This window comes from Homo sapiens, chromosome 13 (assembly GCF_000001405.40).
Source record: "Homo sapiens chromosome 13, GRCh38.p14 Primary Assembly".
Classification (NCBI taxonomy): domain Eukaryota; kingdom Metazoa; phylum Chordata; class Mammalia; order Primates; family Hominidae; genus Homo; species Homo sapiens.
In genome coordinates this window covers 38,531,506-38,546,452 of record NC_000013.11, presented here as the reverse complement: position 1 = coordinate 38,546,452, position 14,947 = coordinate 38,531,506, and the positions used below count along the sequence as shown (strand labels likewise).

The 14,947-nt window shown below is 36.6% G+C and overlaps 1 long non-coding RNA gene across 1 annotated transcript in view; it reads left to right on the top strand.

Moving 5' to 3' along the window:
* Positions 1-14,453, top strand: part of LINC00437 (long intergenic non-protein coding RNA 437) — a 154,676-nt gene extending 140,223 nt beyond the window's left edge. Inside the window, exon 3 of the long non-coding RNA NR_126377.1 lies at positions 12,433-14,453. This is a non-coding gene — a long non-coding RNA (long intergenic non-protein coding RNA 437). The remainder of the gene's footprint in view (positions 1-12,432) is intronic.
* The last annotated feature ends 494 nt before the right edge of the window (positions 14,454-14,947 follow it).

Below are 14,947 nucleotides of genomic sequence, written 5' to 3'. Positions count from 1 at the left end.
AACAGTAAAATAGTTTATTCTTTTGTTCAGAATAATATCCAGGGGTATAATGTATGTTACCCATGCAGGGTCAGCTGTCTAATTTTGCCAGGCCCAGTGCAAAATGGAAATACAGGACCCCAGCAGGGACAGGGAAGTCAATCTCTCCTTCCTATTTGCTGTCATCCCAACCCACAGCTGACAGGGTGACCATGCAAGAAATGGCAAACCTCTGCACTGGCATACACTTAGTACCTGGATCAGTTGTGAATGATACGTTTGCCCCCAGGAAACATGCTGTGGCACTGCCAACCCAGGCTTGGGATGACGAGCACCATGCTCCTTCTCCAGACTCTGCAGGGAACACACAGAGACCTTGACTTTTCCCATGACCCTTGTCTGGGCCCCCAGCAAGGTGGAGGTCAAGAGGATGCAGGGCGTTCTCAACAGATGTGACCTGGTTACTGCCCTAGATATAGGGGTCAGCGATCAAAGAGTGGGATCAAGAAAGGGAGTCAGGGCATGTCCCAAGGCCACAGAGGATGGAGGTTAGGCTGCCTGGAGCTCCTCCCATGGAGTCACGGAGGTGGTTGGAGGCAGCATCATGTGTGGGCTGAGGTGCCTAGTCCCCGGCACATGCTCCACTGACCCATTGGACTTCACTTACAAAACATAAACTCAAAGATAACACTATTAAACGTTTCAAGACAGCAACCAGAGAGCATTCAACTCCAAATGTTCAAGTGCAAGGACTTCTAAAGTGGGGTCTTGTGCAATTGCACTGGACACGTCCATGAAGTCAGCCCTGTACTTATTATACAGTGACTATGTTAAGGGCACTCCTCTTTGTCCAAGCCCCTGGAGACAGAATGGTGGTGGCAGTATGGTCCGTGGGGACTTCAAGAAGGAGTGAGTGGAAACAAAGGGAAGTGGAACCCTGTGGCATGAGCAATGGGGTAGTTGGACAAGAGGTATTACCATTCAAGAACTCCCTGAGAGAAAATACCAGGTCCTGCTATCATGCGGCGGAACTCAGAGTGCCAGGCTTTGTAGTATTTATGCAAATGTGACTGGAATTGTAATCAAAGGATGTTCAAACTGAAAGGGTGGCAACACTTGTACCTCAATCTTTCCTGCTGGTCTATTAGCTCAACAGCAATTGACACCTGCAAAGTTTGTCTTTTGTTTCAGAAATCCCTGCTATGTGCTTGTCACAGGAGAGGCACTCAACAAATGTCAGCTGAATGTATCAATAGAACCCACACAAGTTCAAACATCACATTCAAGGTAATTCGGTCTAGTTAATATTCTACTTGGTTGAACTCTTAGTATTATGAAAATATTTTTTCTTCCTTGCTAAATTATGGAGCTCAGTAAAATTTTGCAGGTTGATCTAGGAAGAGAATTATTATTTTTAGTATTTTTTCTAGGAGGTAATTTCTTCTGAGAACCAAAAATCAAAACAAAACAAATATGCAAGTCACATTTTAAGACATCCATTAGCCTTTGGGATGGCCAGGTGCACACAAATAAAGTGAATGCTACACTAACAAAATAACCAGGAATCAGCACACACGGTTATTTAATGTCAAACTATGTGATGCTTTATGTTAATTTATCCAGGGACAGAAGTCTTTCTGGAGAATTTGGTAAGCAACTTTCTCATGCACTATTTGCAGTAATAGAATAGGAGTAAACTGTGAATGTGAAGAACCTCTGCTGCAATACTGAGTCCCTGGAGCCTGCGCACTGTCCAAAGGTCTTATGTGACAACACTGTCCAAAATGCATCCCTCTCTCTGACTCATTTCTTAATTCTCCACCTTGAGGAGAGTAACATGGAGATACTAGAAGAGAATGTCAAGAAAAGACATTTTTGCATTCTGTCCTTTTTGGCATGTCTTCTGGGACTCCACCTTTGAGATAAATAGAGGTGACCAGGACGCTTCATTGAGTGCACCTCTCTCAGGCCTTTCTACCCTCAGATAAAGCTGGTCCTAGGAAAAATTCTGAACTTGGGGATGTTTCCTCTCAGTGATCTCAGTAGGTCCTTTCTCTCTCTTTATCCTAACTTGGGCATCTAGTGTTTTAATGACTTTCTATTATAGCTCATCAAAAGATGTTCTCAAGGTGTAGTGGTTAAAGCATTTAACCAGAGTTAGAAGGCCTATTCAAGGTCGTATTCTACAGCTTACTGGTAATTTGTAACCTTGAGAAAATAATATTTTCTGAATTTCTATTTCATCATCTTTAAAATTTGTATATTGGTATTGTCTTGTGAATTATTTATGTTTACAGTGTAAAATCTGTTCAAACATGAACTAGTCAAACATTTGAGAAACGTACTGTGATCAAGGAGGGGATTAAGCTTGATGAGTTAGCTTTTTCATTTTCATATTAAATTTAATAGAGAATTTAATATGAAAATGTTGTCTTTGTTATATTTGTCTTTTGGGCAAATAATAAACATATCTTGGTAGAATTCAGCAAGTAAAGCGTGTTTATGCAGGTGTACATATTTGATAAGAAGAGTCGTGAAAGGGGACATTGAACAATGTATGTTGCAGCCTTCTGTTCTCATTCTTTAAGGCTCTCTTGCTCTTAAAGTTTCAGACTCTGAGTCATGCATCACAATTTTTAAAAAATCAACACTTTAATGATGTAACTAAACTACGGTGAGAGAACCAAGGAATTCACAACCACCAGCCAATACTCCCAGTTCATCTGTTTTGAACTTGATTGACTCAGCAATTATGCTTTGATGTGGTAAAAAGGATACTGGGCAGTTGGGATAGACGTGAAATAACTAATTTTAACAATGAACTGAATAGGAAAATTTCTGTCTTCCCTAGAGCTTGCCTATATTGATTATGTCTGAGGCTTTTCTGTCGTAAGTCTTAAAACCAAAACATTCTTTAATACCTATATGAATATCAAAAGGCTGATGAAAGACCCAAATACAATAGTAATAGCATAAAATATTGTGTTTGTCTAAATGATGATGTGGTATGTAAATAACCTGTTTAAAATTGAGAAAAAAATGTCAGGGCACATTATTTGAACTATTTAAAAGTATGGAACAATACTTGATCAGAAAACGCATCACAAGAAAACCTCATAATTTCCTGATTGATGTTCCATAAAATCGCCTAAGTTTGTGTCCCTCAAAATAGTTATCAAGTTGTGGAAAGACATTTCTACTCCCATTAGAGAAACATTAAATCTTAAACTTTAAATTAAATGTTAAATTATCATCGATTTACCAGCTATACCGAACTCAATGAAGTAGTCTATTATCTATATGCCTGCAAAAACATTTACATTGCTTTAAAGACATTTTAATTTCTCTAATGGCTCGAGGAAGAGGCTTAGAAGTTAATACTTGGAATTAATTGATTTGCTGAAGGTATTTGTCAGCAAGGAAGATAGCACACTTAAAGGGGGGTAATTAAGGATAGTTTAATAAAGAAACCATTTACAAAGGCACGAGCTTGGCTAAGGAAACCAGCAAGGGATGGCACACTGAAGGACTAGCAATAGCAGGAAGCCCTTTCCATCTTAGATCTGAAGAGGAATGGATATTAGAATCTGGAAAGAAATGCTGCCATTGCTTTAGAAGTAGCTGTGGTCATAGCAGGAGGATGCCAAATAGGTGATTCAGCCTTTGATAGAATGACACACCATTGCCAGCCTGCAGCCTGGCAGAGGTTAGCCAGGGAATAAATACTCTGATCACATGTCCTTCCACATGTAGATCTGCTGCTATTCCTTTCCATAGACCAAATCCAATGGAGGTCAGAGGGAGCATGTGCAATTCAAGTTTTCCTTCCCAGGTCGCCGAGCAAGTTGGAGAAAAATTGAGTGTGAATATAGAGGGAAAATGGAAAATCTCTTGCACACTCAGCATTCATTTTGTCAAAAATGTTTTACCTTACAACAAATTTAAATCTCCCAGAAGCATACTTCCCTTCAAGAAAAATCTACACAGTCATGACTGAAGACACATAACTTCCATTCTTCATGCTGAATATTTCAGCTACATTTTATTGTTTTCCTACATGAGGCATAAGTAATGCTGGACTTGCTCCAAGTTTTCTAAAACAATTTCATGGAGCAGTCAGTTTTAAGAAAAGTTTTCACTATCACACGCTTGATGACATTTCATAGCATAAAATATACCTATGAATTTCCTAGGGATTAGTTTTTCTATTATTTTTTCAAAGACTGCATTCACTAGCTTACACATATATTAAACTGGGGTGTGGGCTATTTTTGTGGGGACTGGGAGATGCTCTGTTTTTTCAGAATGATAGTTGACTTAGGCCGGGGGTGGTGGCTCACACCTGTAATCCCAGCACTTTGGGAGGCGAGGCGGGCAGATCATGAGGTCAGGAGATCGAGACTATCCTGGCTAACACGGTGAAACCCCGTCTCTACTAAAAATACAAAAAATTAGCTGGGCGTGGTGGCAGGCACCTGTAGTCCCAGCTACTCCCAGCTACTCGGGAGGCTGAGGCAGGAGAATGGAGTGAACCCGGGAAGCGGAGCTTGCAGTGAGTGGAGATCACGCCACTGCACTCCAGCCTGGGCTACAGAGCGAGACTGCGTCTCAAAACAAAACAAACAAACAAACAAAGAATGAGAGTTGACTTATAAACATGTATACATTAAATCATGCACTTGTTTAGATGAGTTTAAAAGGTTAATTGCCTTTGAAGATTTGCTGTTGTTCTCACTTGTTGAAAACAATTTTATGAATACATTAATTTTAAGGGTATATACAGATGGTATGAATAGAAAAAATTAGCTACCCATTAATGAATTTGTAGGTGAAAATATCTTAGACAGGTGTTCTAAAATGAGGAAATGGACATGATGAATTACTTGAATATGTAAAGAGAAAACACACTATGGCATTCCACTCAATGAATTCCAATACAATTTATTAGATTTATTTCCGTCTGTTCTGTCTGAATCCATTTAAAGTTGCTTTGTAACTAATCCACAGCAGCGACAAAAAAAGAAGCTCATTTCACCTTTTCATCCACACCTAAATTCATTGCCATTTTCTCCTTGGTCCTTGAGGAGTGACTAACAGCAGTAATTATTTTCCTTTTTTGCTATCTGAGAATGTGTTTTTGTTTTCCTTTAAACTCTGATGCAGAAATCACTGCTTCTGTGCACTTGTGGAAGTGCTAGCAATCAATATAATTTAACAAAATGCTGAACTGAAAATTAACTAGAAAATAACACATGAAGTAATTTGTATGAAGTGTAAATTAGGTAAGAATGAAAACTGCGATGATGGGTTTTGTGTATTTCTTTTTTTTTTTTTTTTTTTTTTTTTGAAACAGGGTCTCGCTCTGTCACTCAAGCTGGAGTGCAGTGACATGGTCTCGGCTTACTGCAACCTCTGCCTCCTGGATTCAAGCAATTCTCTGCCTCAGTCTCCCGAGCAGCTGGGATTACAGGAACCCGCCACCACACCCAGCTAATTTTTGTATTTTTAGTAGAGATGGAGTTTCACTATTTTGGCCAGGCTGGTCTTGAACTCCTGACCTTGTGATCCACCCACCTTGGCCTAACTCATCTTTGGTTCATGGTGGAGTCTATGTTTTTGCTTCATAGATGATAAATTCATAAGTTAGGGGTAGACAACAGTTTTTTTAAAACATCTTTAATAGGCATTTTTGCTGAAGGTTATGAAGGAATCTTACCATAATCTCAAAACCCAATAAATCTAAAATATTAGAAATGATTTTTAAAAGATAAAGATTAGTGTACTGTAGTCTGAAAAAGGAAATGATATTGTCTTAATAAAAATTACCTATATTTAAATATTATAGTGGGCTCTTAAATTCATGGGATAGAATATATTCTCCATTGAAGCCATCATTAATGAGTCAATCAACCATAAATTAACCATTAGTTTGTCTTTTAAGCAGAATGCTATATCTCACCCAGGAGTGATGTAGCAGGTTGATAATTTAATAAATATTACTATATTTAGAAAAACATTAACTGTTAAAGACATAAGGTTTCATAAAAATAAAATAATAGTAAAAATATTTTTCACATTATCGTAATCAATAATTATTTGGAATAACTATTATTTACTTTAAACTTATGTAAGAAATACTGTGCAATAATAATTTAAAGAATATTGGCCAGGCACGGTGACTCACGCCTGTAATCCCAGCACTTCAGGAGGCTGAGGCGGACAGATCACGAGGTCAGGAGTTCGACACCAGCCTGGCCAACATGGCGAAACCCTGTTTCTACTAAAAATACAAAAAATTAGCTGGTCGTAGTGGTGGGTGCCTGTAATCCCAGCTACTTGGGAGGCTGAGGCAGGAGAATTGCTTGAACCGAGGGGGCAGAAGTTGCAGTGAGCCGAGATTGCACCACTGCACTCGAGCCTGGGCAACAGAGCGAGACTCTGTCTCAAAATAATAATAGTAATAATTTAAAGAATATTAATGTTAGAATTAATGATATGTGGATTAAATTCTAGCTTTAACATTTACCACCTGTGGGAATGTATTTGGATTGTTTCCATTTTCTTAGTCTCTTTTCTCATCTGTAGCTCATGTGGGTTTTGTGAGGATTAAATGAGATAATATAATGCCTCTGAGAAGGCCTGCAATGAAGTAGAAATGCAATAAATTTTAGTTCAGTGTTTTTCACTTTACTTTCTGCTTTTTTGTTTTTCTTTCTTTCTTTCTTTCTTTTTTAGAGACAGAGTCTCGCTCTGTCACCCAGGCTGGAGTGCACTGGTACAATGTCAGCTCACTGCAAACACTGCCTCTCAGGTTCAAGCGATTCTCCTGCCTCAGCCTCCTGAGTAGTTGAGATTACAGGCACGTGTCACCACACCTGGCTAATTTTTGTATTTTTAGTAGAGACGAGGTTTCACCACGTTGGCCAGGCTGGTCTCGAACTCCTGACTTCTTGATCTGTCCGCCTCGGCCTCCCAAAGTTCTGGGATTACAGGCCTGAGCCACCACGCCTGGCCCCTTTTTGCTTTCTTTAAATTTGAAAGCCATGGAAAAGCATAAAAGCAAGTTTAGATTTTAAAACCTACTAAAAAAGAGTAGCTATTATGGAAGCATCAAAACCACTAAGAGGAATGTAACAAAAACATTTTCATTTACTTGTTTATTTAACAAATACTCTATTATTCACTATGTGCCAGACACTACCTTAAGCACTTTACAAATATGAATTCATTTAACCCACATAACAACTCTGTGAAGTAGGTGCAGGTATTATTTCTCATTTTGTAGGTGAGGAAACTGAATTGCAGACAGTTTCAATAAGTTGCCCAAATTCACACAGCTACAAAGTGCTATATTTTTAAACAACAACAACAATGAAACACAAGCATTCTGCTTTCAGAGTTCATGCTTTTAAGCCTTGCATTATGCTACCCACTTATGTGATGATGAGGATAACAGCGATAATAATAATGACTAATATTTGCATTTCACTTAATGTGTGCCGTGCACCTTCTAAGTATCATACAAGTTTATAGTCATAGTGATTATTCTGCCATATAGATGAGGAATATGAACCACAAAGATGTTAAAGAGCTATACTTGCCTAGAGTAGAAGGGATAAGGAATCTATATTTGGATAAATATTGTCTGGTTTCAGTACCATAAACATTTGAAAATGTAGGGTCCTGCTTTGGTTAAAGTCATAGACATGTTTATGGTATCCGTTGGATGATCACTTTTCCATATCAAAGTACCAGTTGGTCTAGCGTGCTAATTACATCTTGGCCTTCTGAAAATCTCTATTGGTCACTGGCAGGGAGAATGGGCTCTATTTGCACTTGACAGGCTACTGTTGCTATAGCAACCTGTTTCCGCAAAGCTTCTGCCATTGCCTCCTTAGAGTACCCAGAGCTCCATTTTCAACCTAAGCGTGTCTGTGACTGTAACACTGATAGGTCATTTTATTATGTACCTGTTAATTCTTGTAGAGTAACAAGTTCCATTCAACCTCTAAAATGCTTCCTCAATCTGTTCATACTATTCCTCACACAGCCAGCTCATCCCATTTATCCTATAACTGGTCCCCTTTTCTTCAAGTCTCTTCCCTTGCCCTCTAATTTATCCTCCTACTTCTACCAGCATTATCTTTCCAAAATACAGCTTGGGGTTTTTCGGCATCTCCCTGTTTTCAAATACCTGCTATGGGATGATGTCCAAATGTCTTGATATGACAAAGTAACCTAAAATAAATTAGAGGTACAGAGAGATGATGTGCTAGTAATAAACAAGGATGCCTAGAATAGTAATGTTGAACTGCAACTTGATTTATTTGACATTATAGATATTACTAATCCAAAAGAAGATAAAATGATGGCCTTGAAATAAATTGTTTATCTTGGGCAATAAAAAATAAGTAACTATGAGTTGTGATGTAAATTATATTCATGGATTATTCCTACCCCAGTAGTTTGCATAGTATGGTTAGTTTTTAAAATATTTATCTTGAGGGGAAATACCTACTGTCAAACTCAAGGACTTAGTTTTCAGGAGAAAAACTGTGAGCAAATAATACAATGTAAATAATGAGTTTATAATACATGCATTTTAATAGATAAATAATGTAAGCAAGTTACATGTTTTAAATACCATTTCAGTTAGAAATTGTAATTAGGTAGTTGAGAGGAGTTTTTATACCTTTGGAAAGTGCTTCGACAACTTTATACAACCCACACTCCAACTCTGGCTGTGAAATTGTTGCTCAGTTTGAATTCTCCATCCTTAGAACAAGTAATTATGATAAAATGAAAAAAGAAAACCCTGCACCCCATCATGTTCTTAGCAAAACTACATAGCATAAACTCATGCTACAGGGTTCCAAATAGTCCAAGCTATTTTAGAACAACAGTGTCTATTTTTCATTTTGAATTACTGCAATTTCAGTAGCAGCTGTTGCACTGAAAATTATAATGGTCAACATTTAATCAACACAGTGTTTTTTTCCTTTCATCAATCAATCATTTGCTTCAGTTAGCAGAAAAATCTCAAACTTTTCGTTCCTAGTTACTTTAAAAGCTTCATTATAATCTGGCCCAACCTACCGATCTCCCATTATTTCCCACTACTTCCTAACATGCAATCTGGGCTCTGTTTCAACAGTTTCCTAACTAACACACCAGCCTCCCTATTCCTCCCGTTACTTCACACTTCTAAAAAACCATCTGTTTTTCCCCTACTCTGTACAAACACAGTCTTTTTTAATATCAAGAGCTAGTCTCACCTTCTCAAGAAAGTTATCTTTGCTTATGTTCATGTGGCTTTATATGGTTTCCCTATCACTAGACTTCCATAAACCTCTTAATTTCATCTCTTAATTGCACAGTACTTGTCTTGTTGCCCCACTTTGATTGCAAATTTAATGAAGCAAAAATCAGATTTCAAATTTTTCTGGTTCCTTTGCAATATAAAACAGTGTTTCTGTACAAGAAATATCTTGGTATGTCCTTGTGTGTGAATAGAGCAACATTCACTGCTCTTTCTTCTGAATTTCTGTAATATTTTACATTAACAGCATCTTATTCTCAGAGTCAAGCCCTTGAACAAAGATACTTACATATGCCTCAGCCTTCTGCATGCAACTTGAGTTTTTTCAGTCATTGCCATCATTCTTTAGGTATCTACTCTGTATTATGCAGTGTGCTAAAGCCACTGGAGAAAACAAAATATGTAAAATTCTGTCATTAAGGAACTCACAGTCTAGTGACCTTCTGGGGACCTAAGACCTTCACATGAGGTGGGATTGGGGCTGCAGCAGTCTCGGGGAATTCATAGAAGAGATCCACTGATCTTGCTCAGCATGGGAAGGACAGAATGGTTGATCTGGGTATTAAAACAGGAGCAAGCCTTTGCCAGTAGAAAAGGCACTCTGGGGAAGCCTATTTAAGTAGCAGTAGTAGCTCATGCAAACTCTCATATATATATATATATATATATATATATGAAATAAAGCATGGTGTGTTTAGAGAACAACAAGCAGTAGGATGAGAAGAGAGGATAGTAGTGAAAGAAAAAGTTGAAGAGGTCAGTTGAGGCTGGGCACAATGGCTCAAGCCTGTAACCCCAGGATTTTGGGAGGGCGAAGCTCAAGAATCGCTTGAACCCAAGAGTTTGAGAACAACCTGGGCAACATAGTGAGACCCTGTCTTTAGAAAAAATAAAAAATTAGCCAGGCATGGCGGCACATGCCTGTAGTCCTAGCTACTCAAAAGGCTGAGGCATGAGGGTGCTTGAATCCAGGAGTTCGAGGCTACAGTGAGCTGTTATTGCACCACTAATACTCAGCCTGAGAAACAGCATGAGACCCTGTCAAAAAAAGAAGGAAGGAAGGAAGGAAGGAAGGAAGGAAGGAAGGAAGGTAGGTGGGTGGGTGGGTTAGAATCAGAAATATTGATCACTGATGAGGATATTCTGATCAAGGCATTCTCCAATTTGGCTATATATTATTGCTTGGAAAACTAAAAATTATATATAGACCTAGGCTTACAACTCAGACCTGGCAGGTGATCAGAATCATCAAGGGTGGAACAAAGAGTAAATGGTGCCATAGTATCATAACATTTTTCAGGAGATTGATAGACATTTAAATGACTGTCTTCCTTCTTCTAAGTATTTTGACATTGAACAATTTTAATTTCCAATGTCCTTACCCAATTCCCTTCTTAAAATGTCATCTTTATGCATATATTTATAATACATCTATATAATGTAAAATATATGATGATGATACATATTTTTGAGCACTTAATACATGATACTTTACAAATATTACCTGTTTCCATACATCACCTCTATAATCATACTAATGATACAAATGATTATTGGAGCACTGAGAGGTTAATTAACCCGAGCTCGGATTTGAACCCAACCACCCTGACTGAATAGCCCATGTGGTAAACCACTATTCCATACAGCCACCCTGCCAAGTGCGGAGCAGGTGTTGTCACCACGCCAGGCTGTGGACAGATGTTCCAAGTTGTAACCACCCGTGGGGTATTCAAGCCTAGGGAGGTCATCTGAAATAACACAAAGGGAGAGGGACAAAAAGCAAAAACACACACAAAAAAGAAGTCGCTTTTAGCTCTATGTACTCTTCCATTTGAATAAGCGACTCCTAACCATTTCTTTGTGCTGAATCTGATAGAAAGCTGAGTACACATAAAAAAATCCCTATCTCAGAATGGGAGACTTTGACACCAGATAGGGAATCTCCAAGTCAGGTGCTAGACAGCGGTGCTGCAGAATTCAGCCTCAGGACTTTCTGAGCAGGTTTTCACTGAGGGTTTGTCAATAAAATGTTTGCTGATTCAACTTGTATGGGAGCACTTCATGTTTGAGAATATTTCTATATCACATCTCTAAATCACTACTTGCACCTGTGACATTTTTCCCTTTGCTAATCAAGAGGTGTCAGTTTATGGAACAGCCAGATACAGCCATTTCTAAAAGCAAATGCATTTCTATTATATTTTTGTTTCTTATAGTTTCTTTTTGCTCATTGTTTTTTCTGATTTGACTATCAAATATTATTCATTACATATAGCAGTTTAATTTGTTGACATGGGTGAGAAAAGTTAAAACATTGCTTGCAAAATGGGAATTGATTTATCAGTAGAATTTGAAGTTCAGAAAGAGAGATGAGTCAACATTTTTCTTTGGTTGTTTATTTTTAAGATAATGCATTCAATGGTTATAAGTAAACTCAGAAAGAAGCACACTATATTAAATGGGTATTTTAAAAATATTTTAGAATTTTGGCTCAGATATGTAAATGGATGAGGAAAAGTATTTTTACTTTGAAATATTCTAAAATTAACATTCTGATATGCTGTTTTAGATGAATTACTAAAAGAAATATAAAACTTAAAAAGCGTATTTTAATGTGTTATTAAAGTCAAATGATGATAATAGTAGGAAAGAAAATTTCACTCGTAACTTATGTTTAGTATTTTTATATTAAAATTTACCTTCTTATGACCAAGATGAAGTACAATAAAATACTCAATATAGTTAACAAATCAATGATAGGAAACTGGCAATTTTATTCATCCAAGTAGTAGTCTTTAACTTACAGAAATTATAATTTAACAAAAGCTGACAACACATTGATTTAATTTATATTTTTATTTTAATGTATTATGTTAAAATATAATTTAGTTTTTTAGAAAGAACAGGGTTTACTGAATGGTCGTTACAAACATTCAGTCTGTGAATTTGAATATCTAAAGAGCTAAAAGACAAAGATCAATAGAAGAAGTTTCTAATTTGATAAACTTGAAATTAAAAGAGGATTTTTTAAAATGTAAACAGAATCATTAGAAAGACGCTATGTCTTCTGATTAATATTGCCTCGTTTCTCAGCCTGCTCAGTACTTTTCAATATGGTTTCTTTTCCTCCACAGTAACAAGATGTTTAGCTGGGCACATGGCCACTCAAAATGAAGACTTCATTCTTGGCCTGCCTTGCAGGAAGATATGGCCACGTGACTGAGATCTGGCCTATGGAATGTGAATAGAAATATATTGCACCTCCCCCTTTCTTCTTCTTCTGATCATTTTATCCAGTTTCTTGGAACTTGGATCGGCTGCTGAAACTCCATCTCATATTATGAGGGGAAAGGCCATAGTCCACTAGAGTTACTGGTATAGGAAGCTGGAAAAAGCCTGTGTCCCCAAGGAATTTTTTGAGCAACGCTATCATGTCACTCCTGGATTGACTGCCTACAAGACATTTTTAAATGTGAGATAAATAAACCTTCATATTTTTAATCAACTATTTTTTTCTTCTTTTACTTGAAGCAGTATTTTATTCTAACTAAAACAAATTAAGAACTAAAATTTAGTAAACCTAAGGTATTTCATTGCATCAAAAAACTTATGAAATAATTTAACACTGTAATTATCGAACATAAATAGATAAGCTAACAAAAGGATATGTAGGATGACAAAATGAACTCATCCAGCAGTTTCAAAAATCATGTCAGTCTTTAATTTTTTAAATTTGAACTATGCTATACATAGAATATAATATACATAATTGCACATGTACAATTTTTAAAAATTAGGATGAAATGAGCACCTATATGACCACTGCTAAAATTAACAAATAAAGCACCCACTCTCAGTATCTTTAGAGCCTTCTGTGTACTCCTCACTAATACATCCCTCTCCTTGGTCTATATCCCAAATGTAACTGCTTCCCCAGCTTTGTGTTAATCAATCACATATTCTGCAATGTATTTTTATCTGCAAGTAACATCAGAAAAGTTTGTTTAGAATTCGTTGTTTTTTAGCATGACATAAATTGAGTCATATCAGTGCTTTAATTTTAATATTGAACGAGAAAAAATACAACATTGACTAATTCAAGTTTGATATTCCCACGGAATGTTTGGGCACCATAGACCCACCAAAAGTTTTCCCAAGAATGAATGAGTCTTAAGATTCCTTAAGATCCCAGTTGCAACATTCTTCAAATAATAGTTATTGATTAGTGTAAACAACTCCTCATCTGCACTCTGAATTATAAGGGATTTTGATTTGAACCATTTCGATTGAGCCTATATAAATTTGCTGTAAATCATGAGAGTATGCTCTAAAGATATTTCATCATAGCTTATATATCATTTTTTTCTTTGTCAGAATTGAAGGCAAGGCTGAATAATTATAATCATGTTTATATTTAAATCCAGAAATATTACTTTCTCTATCATTATGAAACTAGTGGTTTAACATGTTTATTAATGATTTCACCCAAAAGACACTTCAAAACAGACATTATTGCTACTTGTTTAGTTTTAATCTTCCAAGATAATGACATATATGTTCTGCCATAATTTTTGTCTAATTTTTGTACCCATTTGTATCTTTCTTAATTGCCTAATTAAAAGAGTGTAACGCAGGTTTTATAAGTTGAATTATTGCTGAGATACCTTATGCTTACAATATTATGTGTGTGTGTATGAATTTCTAATCTGTGTCAGGTCATAATCATTTCAGTTTCAATGAGTTAGGAGTGACAGCTGCTTAGGAAACAACTTGTTTCTATTAAAGCTAGCATATTTGTCATTAGAGTAAGGATCTCTTTGGCAGTTTATTTTGTATTGTTAATAATTATCATTATTTTGACTATAGGGCATTTAATTTCCACATTTAACATTTGGTACTGTTATGTAAGCAACTGACTCATAAAATAAAATCCAAACTGTCAACATTTTTGCAATCATAGGGAGGACAAGTAAGCAAATTAGATGAATACAAGACCTAAATTAAGGGGCATGTGAATCATACAGAATTTATTAATAAGAATGTGGATGAACTATAGCACTTCATTCTATATTGATGCTGAATTAGAGTTCATTTGACTTATGGTAGTTACTAAAATGTCCTTTTTCTTTTTTATTAAAAATGGGGATATCAACCATTTTATTTATTTTAATGTTGTGTATGCCTGGGAGTAAGAAAACATGTATAAAATATGGTACACATGGTGACGACTGAGGGCGGAAGCATGGTTATCACTGTCTGCAACATATCCATTGTTGTCCCAGCAATCTTGATCTGACTGACATATTATAAGAGAATTACTCAAATGGCTACAAGTTACAAACCAATTAGTTTGGGTTATTATAATGAGTCCTCAGCCACAGACAATTAGATGCCCCCTTTTCTGTATAGATCCCTGATATTCTAAAAGCCTGAAAGCTGCTGTGGAGCATTCGCTATCCTTCCCACATTTGAATGAAATAAATTGATCACAGAAATATCCTGTGATGTACCCTAAGAGAAAGAGCCCTCCTATCAGACACCCTGGGTTTTAACCCGAACTCTGTCATTTATTTTAAAAAGCTGTGTAATCTTCAGATATTTGTTTAAGTTCTTCATGCCTCAGTCTTTTCATCAGCAAAGTGGGAAAAA